The sequence below is a fragment of the Homo sapiens genome, chromosome 2 (assembly GCF_000001405.40).
Source record: "Homo sapiens chromosome 2, GRCh38.p14 Primary Assembly".
Taxonomy (NCBI): Eukaryota; Metazoa; Chordata; class Mammalia; order Primates; family Hominidae; genus Homo; species Homo sapiens.
In genome coordinates this window covers 104,737,568-104,758,159 of record NC_000002.12, presented here as the reverse complement: position 1 = coordinate 104,758,159, position 20,592 = coordinate 104,737,568, and the positions used below count along the sequence as shown (strand labels likewise).

The window sequence follows — 20,592 nt, the reverse complement described above, 5'->3', positions numbered from 1 at the left end:
TGGGGGACTGTGGACATCCATCCCCTGGGTGGGGTGGGGTGGGGTGGGGTGGGGTGGGGCGGGGCTGGATGGAAATGCAAAGGCACTTAGAGATTGCAGAGTGCAAAAGGGCCACAGAGCTTATCTTCCCTCTCTCCCATTTTATAGATGAGGAAACGCAGTCAAGAAATTGAGTGTGTGATTTTGCAAGAAAAAGTGTGGATTGCTCCAAATAACTAGAGACTGTTAACAGTGGCAAGTTTATCATCCATTTGGCCCTGGCTAAAGGCACAACTTATGCAGTTACCAAATGACAACTTGCAGGGTTTTTGCTACCAGAACACACTTCCTTCAACCCTACTCGTGGCAAGAACAAAGCATCAATACCTAATGAAAATACACTTGCTATTGTTTTGGCATGGGAACTCCTTTCTTGTAACTCTTCTGCATGGTCAGCTTGTTTACGATGCCCCCAAAGAGCTGGCGAAGATCTCAGGATTGGCTTTGGAGGGTCTTGGCAGTGCTACTATATTCTTATTATGAATAAAAATTTTAAACCCAAGCTGATAAACATATTTTTTTTCACACTGAATTCATCAGGAATACATTAACATTTTCTAAAAGGTAAAGACAGCAAAAATGAAAGAATTGAAAGGAGAACATTAGGATGTATTTGGCCACTAGGACTCTGTTTCCATCAGCTCCTGCATATGAGCCAGAACTTCACCCCATATAACTAATGCGCAGGGAATTAGCCTATGGAATAATGATCATTCCTGATGAAAAGAATAAGATCTTGTTCCCGTGTATGTGCAGAGCCATTCATCCTAAGAAAGAAATCTGGAGTGAAAGCGCACAGCATATTTTGCATAGGTTCTGTAAAAGGATCCAGGCAAAACAGGCTTTGCAACATTAGTTATGATCATATATGGAAAAAGCAGTTACTTTCTGGGGTGACATATGGCTGAATTGGTACAATGCCCAGGAATCTCAATGTCCCCCTTAGAAGGGTGAGCCCTGGCTTCATCCTTCACCCACATCATCAGTGGGACAAACTGCACAGCTCGTGGACAGATCACCGGTAAAGAAAATCACATCCACCTGTGCTGAGACCAAGGCTGCTGTTGGGCTCTGGCAGTTGGCAAGCGCTAAGGTCCCCTTCTGTGATCATAACTTTTTCTAAAGCAGGAAAATTATGAATGGAGCCCAAGCCCGTCTGCTTAAGATTCAAGCATGGTGACATTCCATAGTAAACAACAACAGCGACAATGCTGACAAAAACAACACGTTTATTGTGAGGGTGATTCCACCCTTAAATGTGGAAAATTTAACCTTGCTCTGATACTATTCTGTAACCAGTATACCTATGTCCAACATTCCTAACATAGCCAAACCAATCAATTGAGCCTTATTGTGGAAGAGACAGGAAATGTGATCACTTGAATGTGTGATATTCATTCATCCACTCATTCATTTTGCTGACCATTAATTAATTCAATTAACCCTCCTGAGTACAGCTCTGTGCTAAGCATTAGGGACTCAAGATGATTCTTATCTTCAAGGCATCCAGCCTGGGGAGAAAAACAGACGTACAACTAAGCTGCAGACGGACACATCCTTTAGTGATGGGGACACCTGGAAGGGATTGAGAAACTCCTTGCAGTTGGCCTTGGGAAGCTGGGGAGGACTTGAAACTTCTAAGTGGCCCTGGGAGCAACCGGAGGTGGGGTGGGCCAGTGCCTGTAGGCCTGGGCCTGCCTGGCTGAGGATCCCAGCTGGACTACTGCCTTGCTGTCTACAAATGATGGAGCCCTTCCAGTCTCAGCTTCCTCACAAGTAAAATGCAGACGGCAATGCCTCTTTCCAGTGACGTTGTGAGGATTCGATGGGAAGTTTCATGAAAGCACTTAGCAGGGTTTTTGTTGAGTGCTCAGAAGGTGATAGTTTGGTGTTGCTAGGGGAACAGAAGCCTGGGCTGAGAACAGGCCGTGGAGAGTCACAAATGGTCTTCAGCCGTCGGAAGGCACTGTTAGATTTACTCTTCACAAAGAACATTTTGGGACATCTTGGTGTACGGATTAGAAGGAAGGACAGAAGCTGGTGAGCTGTGGGCCACAGGGTCAGCAGGGAGGATACTGAAGCAGTCCACAGACGCAGCTGTGAGGGTGTCCTGGAGCTGGGGAGAGGGAGAGGAGTGGATTAGAGACGTGTTTGGAAAGTGTTAATAAGATAGGCAGGGCTGAGGGGAGAGAACAAGAGAGGGAGAAGGGGGTAGATTTTGATGAGGAGGTGACGGCAGTGACAGTGACTGAGAGGAGCAATAAAGCCAGGAGCAGGCTGTGGGAAGAGGGAGTGGCTTCCCTCAGAAGAGGCGCCGCCTCCCTAGCAGTGAGCAAATGTGTTTAGGAACATGTTCTTCCTCCCAATCCAGAGACGGATTGCTGAGATGATTCCTGCTTTCCGGCTCCCCGACACCCGCTGTTCTTTAGATCCGCTCAGCGGCGCTTTTTCCTGTGCCACGTGCCCAGATCTGAGCGAGGCTTGGGAAGACGCGAACGGGCTGTAAAATCTGTCCCCAGAACTGGAGAGTAAGAATGAGCGGTGTGGGGCTGAGCTGAGTCCAGGGAGTGCGAGAATTTAGCAGTCGTGCTGTGCCTGGGCATTTCAGACTGTGCCACAGCCGGGCCTGCCTGTTCCGCAATGTGGCTGAGGAAGGGAGCCAAAAACGCTGCTGCAGGGCTGGCTGTGGGCAGTGGCAGGAAGCAAACAGAGGCTCTCTGGCGACTTCTCTCCCCTGGAGGCCCTCCTCCCTCTACTTCTAGCCCCACTGCTGTGGGACAGTTGCATCCTGGGGCTTTCTGTGGCTCTCCCATCAGTGCCCTGGGGCTGGCATATGCGACACCTCCTCTGCCTAGGGCATTCAGGCATTCTTCAGTACTTGGTGAGCACCTCCTAGTGCCAAGCTCTGTCCTGGTCACAGGAGAGCACTCCTATCCATGTGTTGTCCCTGTCCTCACTGCGCTTTGGGCCGGAGAGGAGCTCACTGTCTGATCCTTTTCCCCGACTGTGGCTTAAGGGGTTTCGTCTCTTGCTAGAGCCCTTCTAGGCAGGCAGCAGGTCCTGGTTTGTGAGCAAGGGGCTCCTCCTCCATTTTGGAGCCTCGGCTGCCCTGCCTCCCCGGTAATCTGGTATTCTGGTAGTGCCTCTCTGGGCCCTGGTTTAAAAGGCCGAGAGAAGCTGTATTCTGGAGATCAGCTCCAGGTTCTCCCGCAGAGAGCAAGCTCCAGGCACAGGCAAAGGGTGTGGCTTCAGAGAAGAGCGAGGATCTTGCCATCTCTTTTACAGGTTGGTGCAGACTTTTTAGCAGCGTTAAACCCCTGATTGCTGTCATCAGTGGTGTGATTTTACCAGATGCTCCCTCAGTACTTTACAATCAACCTGCACTGAGCACTTTGTGCGGGGGCAGGACCTGGTCTGGGGACTGTCAAGTGCTTTATCTTATCTAAGCCTTACCTCTAGATCCGTGGAAGGCAGAGAGAATTTGGGAACCTCTGTGCTATAAGCATGGAAAATTGGGACTCAGGTAAAAAGGCTGGTTCCTGGTCGCACAGCTGGTCATGGGTGAGTGTGGTTTTTGAACTCTGATATTTGGATTCTGAGTACAGAACATGTTATATTGTGGCCCATGCCCTCCTCCTGAGTTCTTCAGTTTTAATCATTTCATTTTCTACTCTTTTTAGGCACTTTGGCAAAGGAGTGTGAGTTTTGGGGAAGCTCAAGGAAGAGGTACCAGGTAGAGAGAGGGCCAGGGCTGAGTTCACGGGCTCTTTCTAAATGGAAATGTCTCACATTCAGGTAGGTTACGGCATGTGTCAGGAATATCTTTTCTCTATAACAGTGATAAGCAATATGCAGTCATCAAGCTTTAGGAATGCAAACATCAATCTAGTAATTTCAGGAGCAAAAACCTCAGTTCAGGTGGTGGAGTGCTTTGAACATAACCTCCCTCATTTAAGTTTGAGCAGTAGTTGTCTCTCCAGCTGGAGCTGACCCTGCCAGGCTGGGGCTGAGGAACCATCTACCAGCCCAGGACGGACAGAGGCTGGCCCAGAGAGATGGCATCTGAGGCCATGTGCATGCAGTTGGTGTCCTGGATTGAGGTTGAGAGACAGACATAGTCCTCTATCCTTTCCACACATATCCTCAGGAAAGGATCTAGCAGGGTGTTCATTTTTCACTATTTTGTGAGTAGTTGGAGGAGGCAATGCCACCAAGAAAGCATTTTGCTACCCTTCCTTCCTGGGTACTGAAGACATTCTGTATATGTATATTTCACATGTAACTCCTAAAAATATGTAGACCATAAACATTTTTATTTTTCCTGAATTTTACTTTATGCAAAAAAGACATCATATTTTAAATTCTTAGTGATGAGAGTGAGACACCTGAGATGGCTCTGGTGGAAGATGGTAGGTTGTACTGTACTTGGATTCCAGAAGATGAGGCCTCCCTGTGTCTATGGGCTGGGAATTGCGGGGGCTCATCCTACCAGGTGTTGGAGGTGGGTCCTGTGGCTCCTGTAAATTGGAGGTTTCTTGCCATTTCAGGGGCCTGAGACTTATGTTGTAGAAAGACACCAGCAACAGGGAAGGGATGGTGAGTGGGGACAAGATAGACCAGCTTTGTCCTCGGTTCCATCCTCAAGATGGGTGCGGCACTTATTGTGCCCAGTAAGTTCTCATCCAGATACTACCTTACCTCTGAGGTTATATCCCTGGACATATTCTTTTTTTTTTAATTTAATTTTTATGAATACATCATAGTTGTACATATTTATGGGGTACATGTGATATTTTGATACAAGCATACAATTACTATCAAATCATAGTAATTGGGATATCTATCACCTTAAACATTTATCATTTCCTTGTGTTAGGAACATTCAATTCTACTCTTCTAGTTATTTCGAAATATGCAATAAATTATTGTTAACTATAGCCACCCTATTGTGCTATGGAACACCAGATCTAATTTCTTCTATCTAATTGTGTTTTTGTACCCCTTAATCAACCCATTTTTAATCCCTCCTTCCCCTCTACCCTTCCCAGCCACAGCCTCTGGTAACCATCATCTATCCTCTACCTCCATGAAGTCACCTTTATAGCTCCCACATATGAATGAGAACATGTGATATTTGTCTTTCTTTTTTTTATTATTTTTAATTTTTTTGAGATGGAGTCTTGCTCTGTCTCCCAGGCTGGAGTGCAGTGATGTGATCTCGGTTCACTGCAACCCCTGGGAATATTCTTGTAGCACAAACTCCGGCCACCTTCTGCCACAGCTGATACCTGTAGGATAATTATTCCAGCTTCAGAGGAAAGCGAAATGATGACCAGAGATACCCAGATATTGTTCTCGTTGTGAGTGTGGCTTTCAGTCAGTTAACGATAGGGAGGTTGAGGGGAAAGAGGAAGTGCATTCCTAAGGCAAGTCGGTGGTGGTGCTTGCTCATGAGGCCTGCACTGCTGCACTGGCCTTTTCTCTGGTCAGATTTTGAGGGGTTGCCACCTCAGAGTTGGCCACGAGAGCCAGGGCTTCCTGGAGCTGCATCCTTTCTGGCATGAAGACCCTGATAGGTCTGGCAGGCTTTCTCACAGCGGGAATGTTACCGAGGAGTCCACTCATGGGGTCAATCAGGGAAGTTCCTCGAGGTGGAACTCTGGGATGTTTGATCCTCTGTATGGACAGATACTGAGTCTAAGTTTAGCTGGGAGTCACTGCTCACATGGACACTGTGGCCTTCCTTAGCGCTGGGCTGTTGGGGCTTGGCGTGAACTTGTTGATCACCTAAGATGAGATATGTGGTACTTTGGCCTTTGAATTATTTATTTGTACAACTTAACAGATTTCTCAGGTGTGGAGAAAAAAATTGCAACTTAGACCAAGGACTTGCAAACTTTATTAGTACCTCTGCAGGTTTTTCATTTTTGTTTTTGAGATGGAGTCTCACTCTGTTGCCCAGGCTGGAATGGAATGGAACATCTCAGCTCACTGCAACCTCTGCCTCATTCAAGCTATTCTCCTGCCTCCGTCTCCTGAGTAGCTGGGACTACAGGCTTCCGCCAACATGTCCGGCTAATTTTTGTATTTTTGGTAGAGATGGTGTTTCACCATATTGGCCAGGCTGGTCTCGAACTCCTGACCTTGTGATCTGCTCCTCTTGGACTTCTGCAGGTTTTTAATCCCTTTGGATTAAAAAGGGATCATGACCTTCCATCTGTGAATTTCATGCAGCACCTAGTAGTGACCAACACTTGTAGGAGGCTCCACACTATTAGGCACTTTTCCACCCTCTTTAGCCTCACCACAAACCTAGGAGGGATGTACGGTTCTTACCATGTTTCTCCTGTAGCTGAAAAATTGATTCTGAGCATATGACTTGCTCAAGATCCCATGCTGGCAAGTGTCTGGGCTGGCCTTTGGCCTTGGTACACTCAATCTACCCTTTAACCCACGTGTAAGTCCAGGCGGTCCTGGGGAGGGTTTTTGGGATAAGATAACCTGGGAAATTTTCTCCTGGCTGTCATCTCAGACTGAATCTACACAAGTGGCACAGCTCTCCAGGGAAGGGTGGGCCAGTCCCTCTAGGCAACCTCTACAAATGTCCTTACAACCCTTATTGCCAGGAACTCTTTTTTTGATATTGAACTTAAATCCTCCTCACTCAAGGTTAAGCTGCAAGCTTCTCACTGCATACTAGATGGGGATGAAGTTGGTTACAATGCTCTGTGTGTAAATCTACAGTTCTTTGAGAAGACACACACACACACACACACACACACACACACACACTAAACAACCCAATTCCTCTATATGCTTTCCTTGCAATATAATAAAAAGCTCAGAGTTTTGACTTTAGGATTATTTTCTTTTGTTTGGAAAATATTCCCCAAATCAAATCTAACTTAGCTTTTGATTTCTCAAAATTAATATTTTTCTAGCTGATACAATTTCTGTATGTATATTTTATAGCAGAAATAGTTAAATTGCCGAGTTTTAGAAGTCCTGGCCTATAGACTCTTAAAATTATGAAGCAGATAAACTTCCTAAAGAAATACACACCACATGTAATAAATTCTTGGAAAGGAAGTGTCCGTGAACTTAAGAGTTAAGTGATATTGTCTCCCTGAATGGAAAGGCATTAAGAACCAGGATTTTAAATTTGAAACAATGTGTGCATCATAGCAATTTGTACTACATAAGAGGAAAAGCTGCAGCACTTGGCTCTATTCTATTTTTATTTCCATTACGGATTACTTTTGTGTGTTTTTATGAGATCCTATTCAGAAAGGAGCCAGAGCTGTGCAAGTCAACAGATTTCCATTTGGCCAATATCTGAAGTAACGGGCGTGGGTGCAGCAGGGTGAAGACAGGGAGGTGGGATGGGAGCAGAACCCCCTAGAACCACGCAGAGCTGCCCTTGCCTCCTTTCAGCTGCCCTTGCTCCTGCCCCTGGTCCTGGCCTGCATGGTCACAACCTCCTGCAAAATGCAGAAATGTCAGAAAAATGAATGGAAATGCCCATATGGTGGGTGGAGACTTCTAGGGGAGGGACTCGTTTCTGATTTTGTTCTGCAAGGGAAGGTAAGAAAGCTAAAGCAAGGGAGAGGAGAAAGGGAGACGGGGAGAGAGAGGAATGGAGAGGAAGGAAAGGGGCAGGAGGTGGGGAGCAGCTGTCAGGAGGGAGAAGAAGCAGAAAACGCCGGTTCTACCTCCGGGCTGCTAAAAACCTCCTCCACAGACTTAGCCTCTGAAGGAGCTGGCAGTGTGGCCCCTACCCCTCCCAGCCCCCTTGCCCCTGGCCTAGGCAGTGAGGTGGTGTTGGGGAGCACAAATGGCCCCACTCCTCAGGGTCCTTTACATTCTCCACTCCCTCCCTCCACGCCTATCCTCAGGGTACCTAGTGAGGACCTCCTGAGCCTGCTCTCCAGTGGGAGCTGTGCCACCCTTGCCTCCCCCCTTCAACCTCCACAGGCCTCAGCAAGTCCCTCCTCACACAGCAGACGCCCTGGCCCACCCTCCTCACTAGCTGCCTCTCCTGCCACCCCTGCCTGGAACCCTGTGCTTTTGCTGCCCAGAAGTGTTGGCAGTTTCCCCACAAAACCAAGTGGTGCACATCTTGCTTCCTAAGTCTGGAATAACAAACACAACAATCACTACACCAGCTCATGCCCGTGCCAGGCATGGGCTCAGCCCTTGACATGCACAGCCCTACCAGGTGGGCACCAGAGTTGTCTCTGCTTTCCAGAGCTTACACTGAAGCTTGGAGAGACTAGCCAATTTAAGGGGAGGCTGGCTGGCCTGTGCAGGAAGGTGTAATAGACAAGAAAAGGGACACAAAAAAAGAATGAATATACATCTAGCACCCACTAAGTAAGTACCAGGCTATGCTAGGCATGAGCGTTACTTCCGGATCTAAGACACTGTGATTTGAATGCCAAGCAGTCATATTTTTCTAGAACAGAGATTTTTGATCACTGTTTAGTCAGAAAAGAGACATTTCATCTTCTGCAGACTTTATTTTCTTGCTATTTAAGCCACGGCATTTTCTGGTTTGATAAGGTAAAGGCAGTCTCTCTCACCTGCCCCTTTTCCTATTGTCAGTCTTCTTTTTTGTTCCTTTGCTTGCAGCTGTTGTCTGCCTTTGAGTCACACAGAACCACTTGCAGGAAGAACTCTAGAGAATTTGGGAAGAAAGGGGGAGAGGACAGACAAAAGATGCATTTTTCTTTCAAGAAGCAGGAAAATGTAAGGAAAATTGAAGGTGTTCTCAAGTGTGTCTGCTGCTGCCTGACACAGGTAACATTTCTTTAGTTGGCTTCACTTCCCCCCCCTCATGCCTAGCCAGTTCTTCATCATTTTTTAACATCTCTTTAGGGACAGGGACATGAAAGTGAACCGCAGGTCAAAGGCAAGAATTAGGGATTCTGGGGCCCTTTGTCGGACGGCCTCGCTGCTCCTTTGCGCCCATGCCTTCCCGGGAGCTGGTACAGTGGCTCAGAGCTCCAGCCACATCAGCCTCTCCTGAATGACAGCATCACACCTTCCTCCATCCCATTTACATTTCAAACTGCCACCCACCTGCTCTTGATTAATTATTTAGTAACCCTGGCCACTTGTGAGCCTTTCGGAGCTCATATTTCACGTCAAAGGTCCAATCCTTTTTTATCCAAATCTTCTTTCCCTGAATCCATGTGTAGTTTTCTGCATGAAATGCTATGGTATTCCTTTTGCAGCCTCAACACCCAAGGTATTGGCCTCCCTTCTTTGTGGCAGAAACTTCTGGACATTCAGCCACCGGGCATTCACAAGACCGGAGTCTACCTGCCTGATTCCTTCCTTACCTACTTCTGACTTTGGTCAACTCTATTATTATTATTGTTGTTATTATTATTATTATTTTTAAGACAGGGTCTCACTCTGTTTCCCAGGCTAGAGTGCAGTGATTTGATCATAGCTCACTACAGCCTTGAACTCCTAGGTTCACACGATCCTGCTGTCTCAACCTCCTGAGTAGCTGGGACTACAGGTGCATGCTACTGACCGGCTTAACTCTATTTTAAAATAAGTAAATAAAGGAGTCTGGAAGGCACAGCCACAGGCTCTCTTCTGTCTTTAATTATTGATGGAATCTGTGTGAAGAAGTGGGAGAGATGTGGGCGTTAGAATTCGAGAGCATTTCAGTGTGTCCCTGGCTCTGGCACTTCTTTGCTGTGTGAGATAGTGGGAAAATTGCATACTCTGAGCCTTACTTTCTTTACCTCTACAATGGGTATGGAAATATAGAGGCGGCACGGGTGTTAAGATGGATTCATGAAGGAGTAGCAAGAACAATACACACTGAGTTCTGACCGTGAGGATTCAATGACTCTCTCAAACAATGCAAGTCAGATAACCCGCACAGGATCAGTCCTCAAGAACAGTTAGGATGGCCGGGCATGGTGGCTCATGCCTGTAATCCCAGCACTTTGGGAGGCCGAGGTGGGCGAATCACTTGAGCCTAGGAGTTCAAGACCAGACTGGCCAACGTGACAAAACCCCATCTCTACTAAAAGTACAAAAATTAGCTGAGCATGGTGGCGGGCACCTGTATTCCCAGCTATTCAGGAGGCTGAGGCAGGAGAATCGCTTGAACACAGGAAACAGAGGTTGCAGTGAACTGAGATTGTGCCACTGCACTCCAGCCTGGGCGACAGAGTGAGGCTCTGTCACAAAACAAACAAACAACTAAAAAACCAGTTAGGTAGTTTATACCATGACACCTTTACCCTGTGTAAAATTCTTACCAATACTGATGTGAAGTGGTATGAAAATTGCAATGTAAATAGTAACTTGTCAGTTTGTATCTTTTGAACTTTGGAATTCTATTTCTTACACTAATTAGAGGTATGACTTTAGAAAATGTACTTCATTTGTGTGGGCCTCACTTTCATCACCTGCAAAATGGTCCCCACTAAACCTACCTCTGAGAAGCGTGAAAAAATAAAAGGGCTAAGGTAGGTTAACACCTGGCACATAATAAGCACTCAAAAAATGGTCTTGTTTTTTTGACATCATGGTTATTTAATGTCAGTTCATAGATAAGCTTTTATCAATTCTCAAAAAAAAGGAATGTTCATATTTTTCCATTTTGTTACCAAAAGTATGATTAGATTTTAAAGAAAACAGAGCACATCTTTCACCACATGACAATAAGGAATCTCACTCTTTTTTGGCAAGAAAAAAAAGCCATAAACACAACTGACATTAATTCTCTGTGCATATTGCATCTTGCATCCTTGTTTTACAGTTTTCGGAAACCAAGCGTCCATCTGTCTCTAAAGACCTATTCTAGGTTCTAGAAAAGAAAACACCATCTAGATCTGTTGGTGCTATCAATTTGGCTGACTTAAAGCCCCTTGCGTGACTTCCTTCTGCTGGCGCGTCCGTGAGGCCGGGATGCTGATTTATGGCTGCCTCTGTTCCGCAGGTTAACCCCGTCGCAGGTCACTCCGCTCTGTTAATTGCATCCTAACCTTCCTCGGCTCTTCGGCAGCGAAATCGCAGCAGAGGAGATGGAGCAGCTTCGTGCGCATTGCTCATTTGCGCCAACGTGAAAAGAACTGCCAGGATGCCCAGGACACCAGCTCCCTGGCTTCTGCGGTGCTTGCACAGTCCTGAATCAGCCCGAGAGCTGTGGATCTGCGTCCCCTGGCTGCATAGCCGACTGCCGGCTCCATGGAGGGGCCTGTGCCGGAGAACGCACATGTTGACTTATTTCTTCAGTCTAGGCCTTTCTTGGCCCCCTTGGTTATTCATTCTAGATGATACAACTCTTATTTCAGTTCAAATGTCTCACGGAAGAGGCATTGAAGACAGAGTGGATGCCCGTGTTTGTTGGCAGTAGGTAGTATTTACCACTCCGGTTGTAGTAAAAGAACAAAAGGAGAAATTACACCTATTTCTCATATTTAAGGGAAAAGCAATTAAATCACCAAAGTCAGATTCTCGAGTAATTGCTGGGCCCTTGGAGGGGCGGGCAAGGTGAGGTGTGAGGCCCCAGATCTCTGTCTTGTGTGGGGCTGACACTGCCTGCTGGGGACTCCAAGCAGAGGCGGGGCCAGGGAAGGCAGCATGCAGGGGGAAACCGAGAGCCTCTTGCCAGCCTCCCCTCCCAGCTGCTATCCATGCACTTGTCGTAGCTTCGCCGCTGTCCTCAGGCCAGGCAAGAGGTAGCAGGGCTCCACCTACAGAAGTTATAGGAGGCGACTCTCAGAGCCTTGATTTCCTCCATTTGAAATACTGAGAACAGTATCTTCCATACCTAGTTTCTAAAAGTTGTTATGAAGATTACGTAGATTCATACCTGTGAAGGCTGGTGAAAGAATAAAACAGCCTAAACACACAAGGTGTTAAAAACATCCCTTCCAACTAAATAATAGATGAGTTGGAATCCCAAGCATGCTGGACAGCAGCAGTCACAGCCGAGGGGTGGGGGCCCCGTCCCTTACCAGGTGACCTCCCATCGGTCAGGAGGACGATGGCATGTGGCAGTGCCGAGCACCACCTGGCTGGGATCACTTCTCCCGCCTTCCTTTCTCCTTCTCCGGCCTGGGTCGGTAGCATGGTCCGGAGAGCCAGCAGGCAGTCTCTCCCAGTCCGCAGAGGCAGAGGAGCGGTCTGAACGTGCAGGGCGGCCACTGCCAAGGCAGCCTGGGATCAGGAGCTGCCCTGCACCTGGTGATCTCTGCAAATCAATGCTTACCCAGAAGGAAAACCAATTTACATTGGGTGAGTAACAGAGAATGCCAAGTTCGTGTTAGGAGATGAAGTTCTTTTGGATGAAGGGAGGCCAGAGCCCTTTAAAAATAGTATTTTATTTGTATGTGTTCCCACTGCTGAATAAGGTGTTCCTTAGGCCAGCTCTGGGCAAAATTGGGAAGCTCCGTTTCAGCTCCCCCAAGCCCCACTTGTTTTAAAATAGGTATGTGAAAACTGTTACAATATCCAGGCAAGATGGACAATAGTAGAACTGACATTCAATCTTCATTTTGAAGAGCAGTTAAATGGGAGTGAGATTATAACACTGTTAAAATAAGATTAATGTTATAATAAATGCTAGCATCCCAGAACAATTGAATAGAAATATAATGAACAGCCAAGGCTGGTAAGTGGAAATGTCATCAACGGCCACATAGGTAGAGTAAGTTACTACCTTTGAGGATTGAGTTGGACTGTGCATAAAATGAGATCCAGAATAACTGTGGCTTTAGCTAGATAGAGGTTTCTTTCCTTCTTACATAAAAATCTGGACACCACCCTCCCTCTTTTCTGTGTCCTCTGGAGTGAGGGCACCTTTGCTTATCTAACACACTAGACGCTGGGGTGTCTGGCCTCCATTGCTCATTGCTTCTTCTTTCTTGTGGTTCCACATGGGCTTCTGTTCCCCCAGGATACCTCTAGGTCCAAGATGACTGCTGTAGCACTGCCCATCACGCCTGCATTCCTGCCAGCAAGAAAGAGGAATGAGGAAGACGTGGCAAAGAGCAGACACCTGCTGTCTCTTAAAGAAGATTCCCAGAAGCTGCAGCACACACTTTCACTTACATCCCATGGGCTGAGCCTTGGTCTAGGACTATACCTAGCTGTCTCTATTCAGTCAGCCAGTGCCTGCAAAAAACAAGTACTATGAAAGAAGTGGGAAGCACACTGGCCACCACTAATGATCTCTGTCATTTGTGTAATTTCCAGATTTCTGGGAAGTGCCTCTACCTTCCCCTACCTTCCCGCATCTCCCAGTCCACTTAGCTGATGCCCGCATTCTCAACAGTTGTTAAGTCTCTCACTAAGACAAAGAGGACTTTCTCATGCCGAGACCTTCTTGCTCCAGGTCATTTGGAGAGTTCCCGGTGCTGATTTGTTTTTCCCCCCCAATATTTTCCCAGCCCAACTGAGCTGATTTCCGGGTGATTCACCTCCAAGATATTTTTTTTTCTGTTGTCCACCCTCTCAGAGGGCATTACCTATTCAAACAGACAGCATTCACTGAGGCTCACTAAATGCCAGCTCTTACACTCAGTTTTATATTCTTTTTCTCACGTAGTCTCTAGCACAGCTCTAAGAGATGATTGCTCTTCCTGGAAATTAGGATCAAAATCGTGGTACACACCAGTGTGATCCTATGCCCTAGCCCTGCTGCCAGTCTTTATGCCACACTACCTCTCCTGTATCCTGTATGATCTCTGTCACCATGCCCATCTTATAGGTTAGGGAAGAAGGTGAATAAGTTTCCATGGTAGGCCTGACACGGGGCTGAGTCCTGGGGAGAAGGCACCTTTCTCTAGGTCCTAGTTCTCAAGGCATGTGTGTAAAGCGGAGGGGAGGGGAGCTGGAGGAAGCTAAACACAATTCCTATATGATATAAAGCCAACTGGGATGTTTTCTAAGAGGTGAAAGGAGGTTACTTTCACTGCAGATGTTCAGGACATGTAAGGTTGAGACACCTGAAGGGTGGCTTGAAACGAGTCAACTACTCTGCCCCAGCTACCCCTCCTTTCCTGTGGCTTGGCTGTAGGGCTTCACCAGTCCACACCCAGTCGAGTTAAGGTCCTTACTGTGTGAGCCAGCTGTCAGCTGGGCTCCTGCCTAGGAGGATCTGGTCAAATTTTACTGGAATCCTCATTCCGTGGCCTTGGAAGAACTCAGAGTCCTTCCTGCAATTTCTTTTCCTTAGTGCTTTCTTCCTTCAGCCTCCCTTAGCCTCATTGCCTGAATGTCACCTCCCTAGTCCATGCCACTGTTTTCATGGAAGGTCATTCTCAAGCCTGTTTCTCAGTTTAGCAGCTTTATCGGAGAATCATTCTCTGAGATAGGACCCCCTCCTAGGAATCCCCCCAGTCTTTTATTAGAAAAGGCCCACCGTTTTTGCCTTTTCTCTCCCTCCTCTGGGATGACTTCAGCTTTATGTCTAACACATGATTCCTCAACATTTGTGAATTTTATACCCAACCAATTTATGAAAGTATTTTTCTCACCAAGACCTGATTTCTTATGCTGTAAGAGATCCTGGAGAATTAAGTTTCCTTCTCTTGTTACTCTTGACGTTTTGGTGACTGTATTGGTAGAGCAGAAGTTAATCTAAATCTCCAGGTCAAAAAGCAATGCCATGATGCTGTTGAAAGTGGTGATGAGAAACCCTGGTCCCTCATGTGGGCCTGGGAGGCAGGGCCTTGAGATTATGGTGAGGTCATTGGCCCTGAAGCAATGGGACTGGCTACTTGTCAGATGTGGCAGTTGCTAACAATTGTGAAGATGGTTGTAATGAAAACACCTGCTTCACAATATATGAGTTGGGCCATTGATGGAAGCCCTAGAGATACTTAGTGCTTACCACATCCAGGTATTCATTCCTGAGCACATGAGAAGACTCAAGTTGCCCTGAAAGTAGTTCAAGATCATCTAACCAGCACTACCCAGTGGACTTTGAGTAAAAAGGCATATCATTTTTGTTCTGAGGCAGTTAAGAGTCTCCCATGCTCACTCTATCCCTGGGAGCCAGGTGTTGAAATGGTAGCAGCACGGAATGGGAAGACCTTAGATCACTGAGACATCAGATGGAGGAGAGCCCTGCTGACCTGCATCAGACTTTGCATGAACAAGATATAATCTTCTATAAGGTTGAACCCCTGCTACTTTATTTGTTACTGTAGCATAGCAGAGTGTGTCCCAACAAACACAGATAATATGGAAATGTATATAGCTTTTACTCAGCTCTGCCCCTGGGATATTTCTGGATATTTAGTAGCTTCCAAAGGTTTGCTGGTTAAGGGGTGTTTTGGAAGAAGAAAGGGATGATTTTCTGTATTCTTTACTTATTTCTGTTGTTTTTTTCTTAAGTGGTCATCATTTCAAAAAGACTAGGTAATAAGGTGAGAGGTACTGAAATAGAAGTGCCAACAGACAAAATTGGAGAGAAGCATTTGGTAGGATGGTTTGCAAAAAACCCCTCAAGCCTCTGCTTGCCTAATTGATATGCTGTTCTGGAACAATTCAGCCTGACACAGGTGCTCCTGCAGGTTAGTTAAAAGGAGAGTGCAGTGCGGAATCCATATGCTACCATTCCGCCTTTCAAAGCAGCAGAGAATCTGAGGCTGTGTCTCCATTAGTAATCACCAGACATAACAGTTAAACATATATCACACCAGGCTCAAAAATCCCTGGAAGATACTTTGTGTCCATTCTGTTCTACTCTGAATCTGTTCATAATATTGGTAAAATGGGACAAGAGGTTGGAGAAGAAGAAGAAGGGAAGGAAACCCCCGACAAGATTTGGAAAGCAGAGAATTCACATATTCTACTCTTGGAAGCTTAAAGAGTGTCCAACAGAGTGCCTAATAAAGCGTAAAGTGAATATTTATTGAACCAATGGTGACCATGTGCTAAGAGGTTGAACATATCAGTTATCAGTGGAGATTCTGGCTATGAAGAGAGGTGGTTAGTGCCATCCAGTGCAGCTCACCACCTGACACACACATGGCAAGGTCTGGGACAGCTAAGCCTGCATATGCTGTGTGTAGTCTAATCCTCTTTTCCATATTCTTTCATCCAGTTCCTGTGGGTGCGGACATTCCAGTCACAGAACAGCAGCTCTACATCTAGGAGGCTCCTGAAGAACCCAAACTAACTGTGAAAATGCAAGTGAAAAGTCCTGCTCTGGTGTGTTACAGGTGCTGCTTCTAGAAAACCCCTTTATTAGAAAGCAGCATGAAACCAGCGTTGGGATATAAGAGGATGTGCTTTGTTAAAAGAAAACCTCTTTCTAATACTCCCAACCAAAGGGCCAGAGGTCTTGTCTAACTAAATGCCACCTTTCTGTGATTCTTGGAGCTTCATCTTCAAAGACTGAGAGGATCCTCCTTCATCTGAAACCTCTCAGAAAGGGAAAGGTTGGTCGTGACTTGTCCCCTCAACAAGGAACTTCAGGCACTGCCAACTGTGTTCAGTAACCCTTCTCTGACAGGTGAATACGTGAGGGGTCCTGGAACTATTATGCCAATTCTCCATGTTGGTGGGTTGCCAACGTTTACTTGTCTTATTGAGAAAGGAAAGAATGAGCAAAGAAATCTTTCCTTTTCTTTCCAGGATGCTCTCCAGAAAAATTCCTGCTAGCTTGACTCAGAAGAAGAGCAGCCTGTGCATGAGCCTGTTCCCCTTGAGAATTTCCTCTTCCTTCATTAGTGTCTTGCGATGGCCACATTCTCCATTTCTGTGACTTCCTACCAGCTTTTCAAATGCTTAACTACAAACTAAAGTTATTCTGGCATTGGCAATGTGATCTCAGGATTCCCACAACTAGCTTTCCTCAAGATGAATATTGGGACGAGTTTGGCAGCAGACTGTATGATAAGGAGCACTGGAATGGGAGTCAGAAAGCATTGTGAACCCTACAGGGCAAGTGACTTCACCTCTCTTAATCTCATTGTCATCAACTGTAAGTGAGAGTGAATGAAGGATGCTCCCAACTGTCAAACCCTGTAAGTTAAGAAAACCTGTGCTCCAGAGGAGAACATGAACATTGGCAAAAAGGTATTTATACATCCTTCACCATATTTTTGTAGATGAGTCTGAAAGAATTTTGAATTCACCTAGCAATTGCACTATCCTGATTTCATATGGAAAACACAGTTTCAAGAAGTTAACCACAAGGCTTGCACACTGGCTGGCTTCCAGCCTTCTCCTCACAGAGTAGATTAACTAATCCAGACAATTACTGTCAAACAAAGGAGCAGGTTGGAAATTCTTGGAGGATTTTTTTTTTTTTTTGTACAGCTTATATAGTTAAATTGAGAGACCTCAAGTGGAATTGTTTTCATGAATAATTTAAGTAACTATTCTATTTATCTAGTGCTTGTCGGGTAAAAATTTACAAAAATTATGAAAGTTGGATCAACTGACCAATTTGAAGGACAAACATGATTCCAGCTTTCTTTTACTTTATTTTTTCCCCTAGGACCACAGCAATTAGAATAATTTTATCATGAGTTTGAGCAAATAAGTCATCCAATCCCAAACTGAAAGTAATTGAAAAGTAAACCATCACAACATCCCACCTCAAACAGGTGTATTGGGAAGCAGTGTGTGTATATAGCACATCTTATAAAATGAAATAGGCAGGGTACAAAATTTCTGAAAACAGAATCTCTCAACTAGGACCTTCCCCATGTGTGTGCCATTACCTTGATAAATTTGAGACTTGACCAGTGGCTCAATAAATTTGGAGAAAACAGAAACAATTAAGTTCTCACTTCAGATTCATACTTTTTAAATTTTCTTTTATATTTTCAAATTTATGGTCTTAATGCAGGCTAGGTATTGCATTTTGACAATGGAATCTGAAACAGCTACAACTCTAGATTTTGTAAATTCTTCTTCACCATAGCAGTGGCTTAGTTTTAACTGTGATTACTGTCTCATTGGTCAAACTGTTTTGACAGAAAGGACATTTTATTGAGAGGTTAGTCCCCAAAAGACATGCTTTGGAGATCTTTTTCAAATGTTCAAATTATGGATGGCTTAGTTTATACTCTTTACCCCAAAATGAAAATTCTGGCATTCTCATTAGCCTTCTCACAAAGCAAGTCTTTAAAGCTTCCCCAACACATGTGAAAACCGAATTTTATGAGGATTCAAGACCAGCCAGGAGACTTTAGTAAAGACTAGATTTCAGAACAGCAGATCTTTAGTTGTGCAAAGGACATTGCTAAACTTCTGGGTTGGAAGGTATCCTGATATACCTAATTCTATTTATGAAACTGCATATGTGCTTTGAAACTCTGTTTAGATCCAGCTCTTTCAGTTAGAGATGGAAACCATATGTGTGTCTAAGGCCCTTATGTTTTGCCTTGGAGAGTCTTAGATTTTGTTTTGATTTCAAACTTGGCATCATTTTCAGATTTGGAGGCATCCTGGGTATGTCCTTGACCCTCTGTGTCATGCAGATACATTTTTGTTATCCATTATTACTCTTCTTAGATGAGTCTCAGGGCCATATGCTTAGAAAGGTGTTGTGCCTTTCATTCTCAGAAAAGTTATTCTAAGTAAAACAGAGATCCAAAGAAAATATGTGGAACATTCAGGCTCACAATCTTGTACATAGTAAAATAGTTTTTTGTTTATTGTTTATTTGAATTAATCAGGTCTGCTTTTCCCCTTTATTCCTCATTTCTTTTGTGGGAAGTGGACTAAAGCTTCTGCTGCACCACGAACCCAAGAATTGTAGACATATCCCAGTGGCCAGATGGCTGACTACCCACCGAATCTATCTTCCCATTCTCTCAAGGTAATGAGCTAGCTGTAGCCCAATATGTGACCTCTCAGTTGGCGGCTATGTTTCAAGAGCCACTTGCAGGTGTGTGTCTGAGTTCCTTCCAGTGGAATGTGAGCAGAAGGGACAGGAGACATTTCTAGGCCCTGGGTCTGACACACAGCCTTCCCTGTGGTTGGTGCTGAACTACAGAGTAGCCGAAGACCAACTGGCTTTGAGCATACAGGTGCAGGACTACTATATGAGAGATGAAAAACCTTTGTCCTTAAAATGAACTTTTTCCCTAAAATCGCATGTAGACCTTGGGGCTCATGCATAAGAATTAAAGAGAAAGAGGAAAATAAATCTCTTTTTGTTTCCTTGCATAGAACTGAGACATGGAGGAGTTTGGTGTCTTAGTAAGTAGTTGGCTTTGGCTGAAATGAGTGTATGCGGGTGTGTGTGTGTGTGTGTGAGAGAGAGAGAGAGAGAGAGAGTGTGTGTGTGTGTGTGTGTGTATGTGTTGGGGGCTGGGGCCCAGGACGAGGGGTTGTGGATTACAGGAGGCCTCTTTTTTAAATTTAAATTAAAAATTTTTTTTGAGACAGGGTCTCACTCTGTCACGCAGCTTGGAGTGCAGTGTTTGATCATAGTTCATTGCAGCTTCAACCTCCCTGGCTCAAGCAATTCTCCTACCTCAACCTCCTAAGTAGCTGGCACCACAAGTGTGCATCACCATGCCTAGCTAATTTTTTTTTTTTATTTTTGGTAGAGACAGAATCTCTCCATGTTGCCCAGGCTGGTCTTGAACTCCTGGGCTCAAGCAATCCTCCTGCCTCGGCCTCCCAAAGTGCTGGGATTACAAGTGTGAGTCACTTCGCCCAGCTGAAAGACTTCTTAGTGAGCACAACAAGGACAAGCACTGGGGTCAGATTCCCAAGGTGGACCCACATTTGAGGGATGGTCATGGTCATAGAAAGTTTAAGGGAGCAAAAGAGTCCAGGAAAATAATGAAGCAGCAAATGCTGGAGAAAGTGGTATCACAAAGCCAAGGAAGAAGATTCCAATTGATACAGATATTTGCTACTACATTTTTTGCTGTTTTTTTTTGAAATGAGAATAATTCTTATTTTTCTTCTATAAGAATTTTTCTTATGAAATAAGAAGTTTTCAAAGGGAATTCAATGAAAAAAATTAACCAATTTATTCTTTGGTCCTAGGGCTTGGTTTAGATGAATAAATACCCGTATCTTGTACCCAGTGCTACCTGTGACAGTCTAGTTGCTCCAAATACTTGCTCTGCCTCTTTGAATAGTACTTTTTCCAAGCTGCTTTAAAGTTCTAATTTTTTACCAATAATTTTAATGGCTTTGTCATTGTTGAGGAGAAGGTGGTAAAGTATCATGGAGATAAGAGAAACCGGATCTACAAAGTCAAAGAGAAGAGAAGCAAAGGAATACTTATTTGGATGATTTAAAACAAGTTCCATTCCACTTTTTAAAAATTAGTTGAAAAATTTTAGACTGAGGCGATTGAGAAACTTGTTTCAAGACTTCAGAATTTATGGGTTAGGATATGCAGGAATGAGGTCTATGTTTCTCCAACTTGTCCTGTCTTATTTGACTAAGCATAATGGTGAAAGGTACAGATTTGAAAATCAGGTGGCCTGGAGTCACGGCCCTGCTCAGCCACTCATTAGCTGTGTGATTTCAGTCAAGTTAGTCAGCTTCTCTGTGTCACAGATTTTCATCTGCAAAATGGGGATAATGACA

At 45.0% G+C, this 20,592-nt stretch overlaps 1 long non-coding RNA gene across 1 annotated transcript, besides 3 other annotated features; it reads left to right on the top strand.

The window, feature by feature from the left end:
* Nucleotides 1-440: 440 nt before the first annotated feature.
* Nucleotides 441-11,523, top strand: LINC01114 (long intergenic non-protein coding RNA 1114). Its single transcript, NR_038231.1, has 4 exons — nucleotides 441-2,079; nucleotides 3,720-3,834; nucleotides 8,671-8,838; nucleotides 11,009-11,523. It is a non-coding gene; the product is annotated as a long intergenic non-protein coding RNA 1114 (long non-coding RNA).
* Nucleotides 10,584-11,103: an enhancer, noted in NCBI's record as "H3K4me1 hESC enhancer chr2:105363515-105364034 (GRCh37/hg19 assembly coordinates)". NCBI's record gives its function as "activates a minimal SCP1, AML or CMV promoter by ChIP-STARR-seq in naive H9 embryonic stem cells {active_cell/tissue: H9 hESC(naive)}" and the evidence as "EXISTENCE:reporter gene assay evidence [ECO:0000049][PMID:30033119]".
* Nucleotides 10,584-12,170: a biological region, named in NCBI's record as "CDK7 strongly-dependent group 2 enhancer GRCh37_chr2:105362448-105363647".
* Nucleotides 10,971-12,170: an enhancer, noted in NCBI's record as "CDK7 strongly-dependent group 2 enhancer chr2:105362448-105363647 (GRCh37/hg19 assembly coordinates)". NCBI's record gives its function as "activates an origin of replication core promoter dependent on BRD2, BRD4, P300/CBP, MED14 and CDK7 cofactors, with strong dependence on CDK7, by STARR-seq in HCT116 cells {active_cell/tissue: HCT116}" and the evidence as "EXISTENCE:reporter gene assay evidence [ECO:0000049][PMID:35650434]".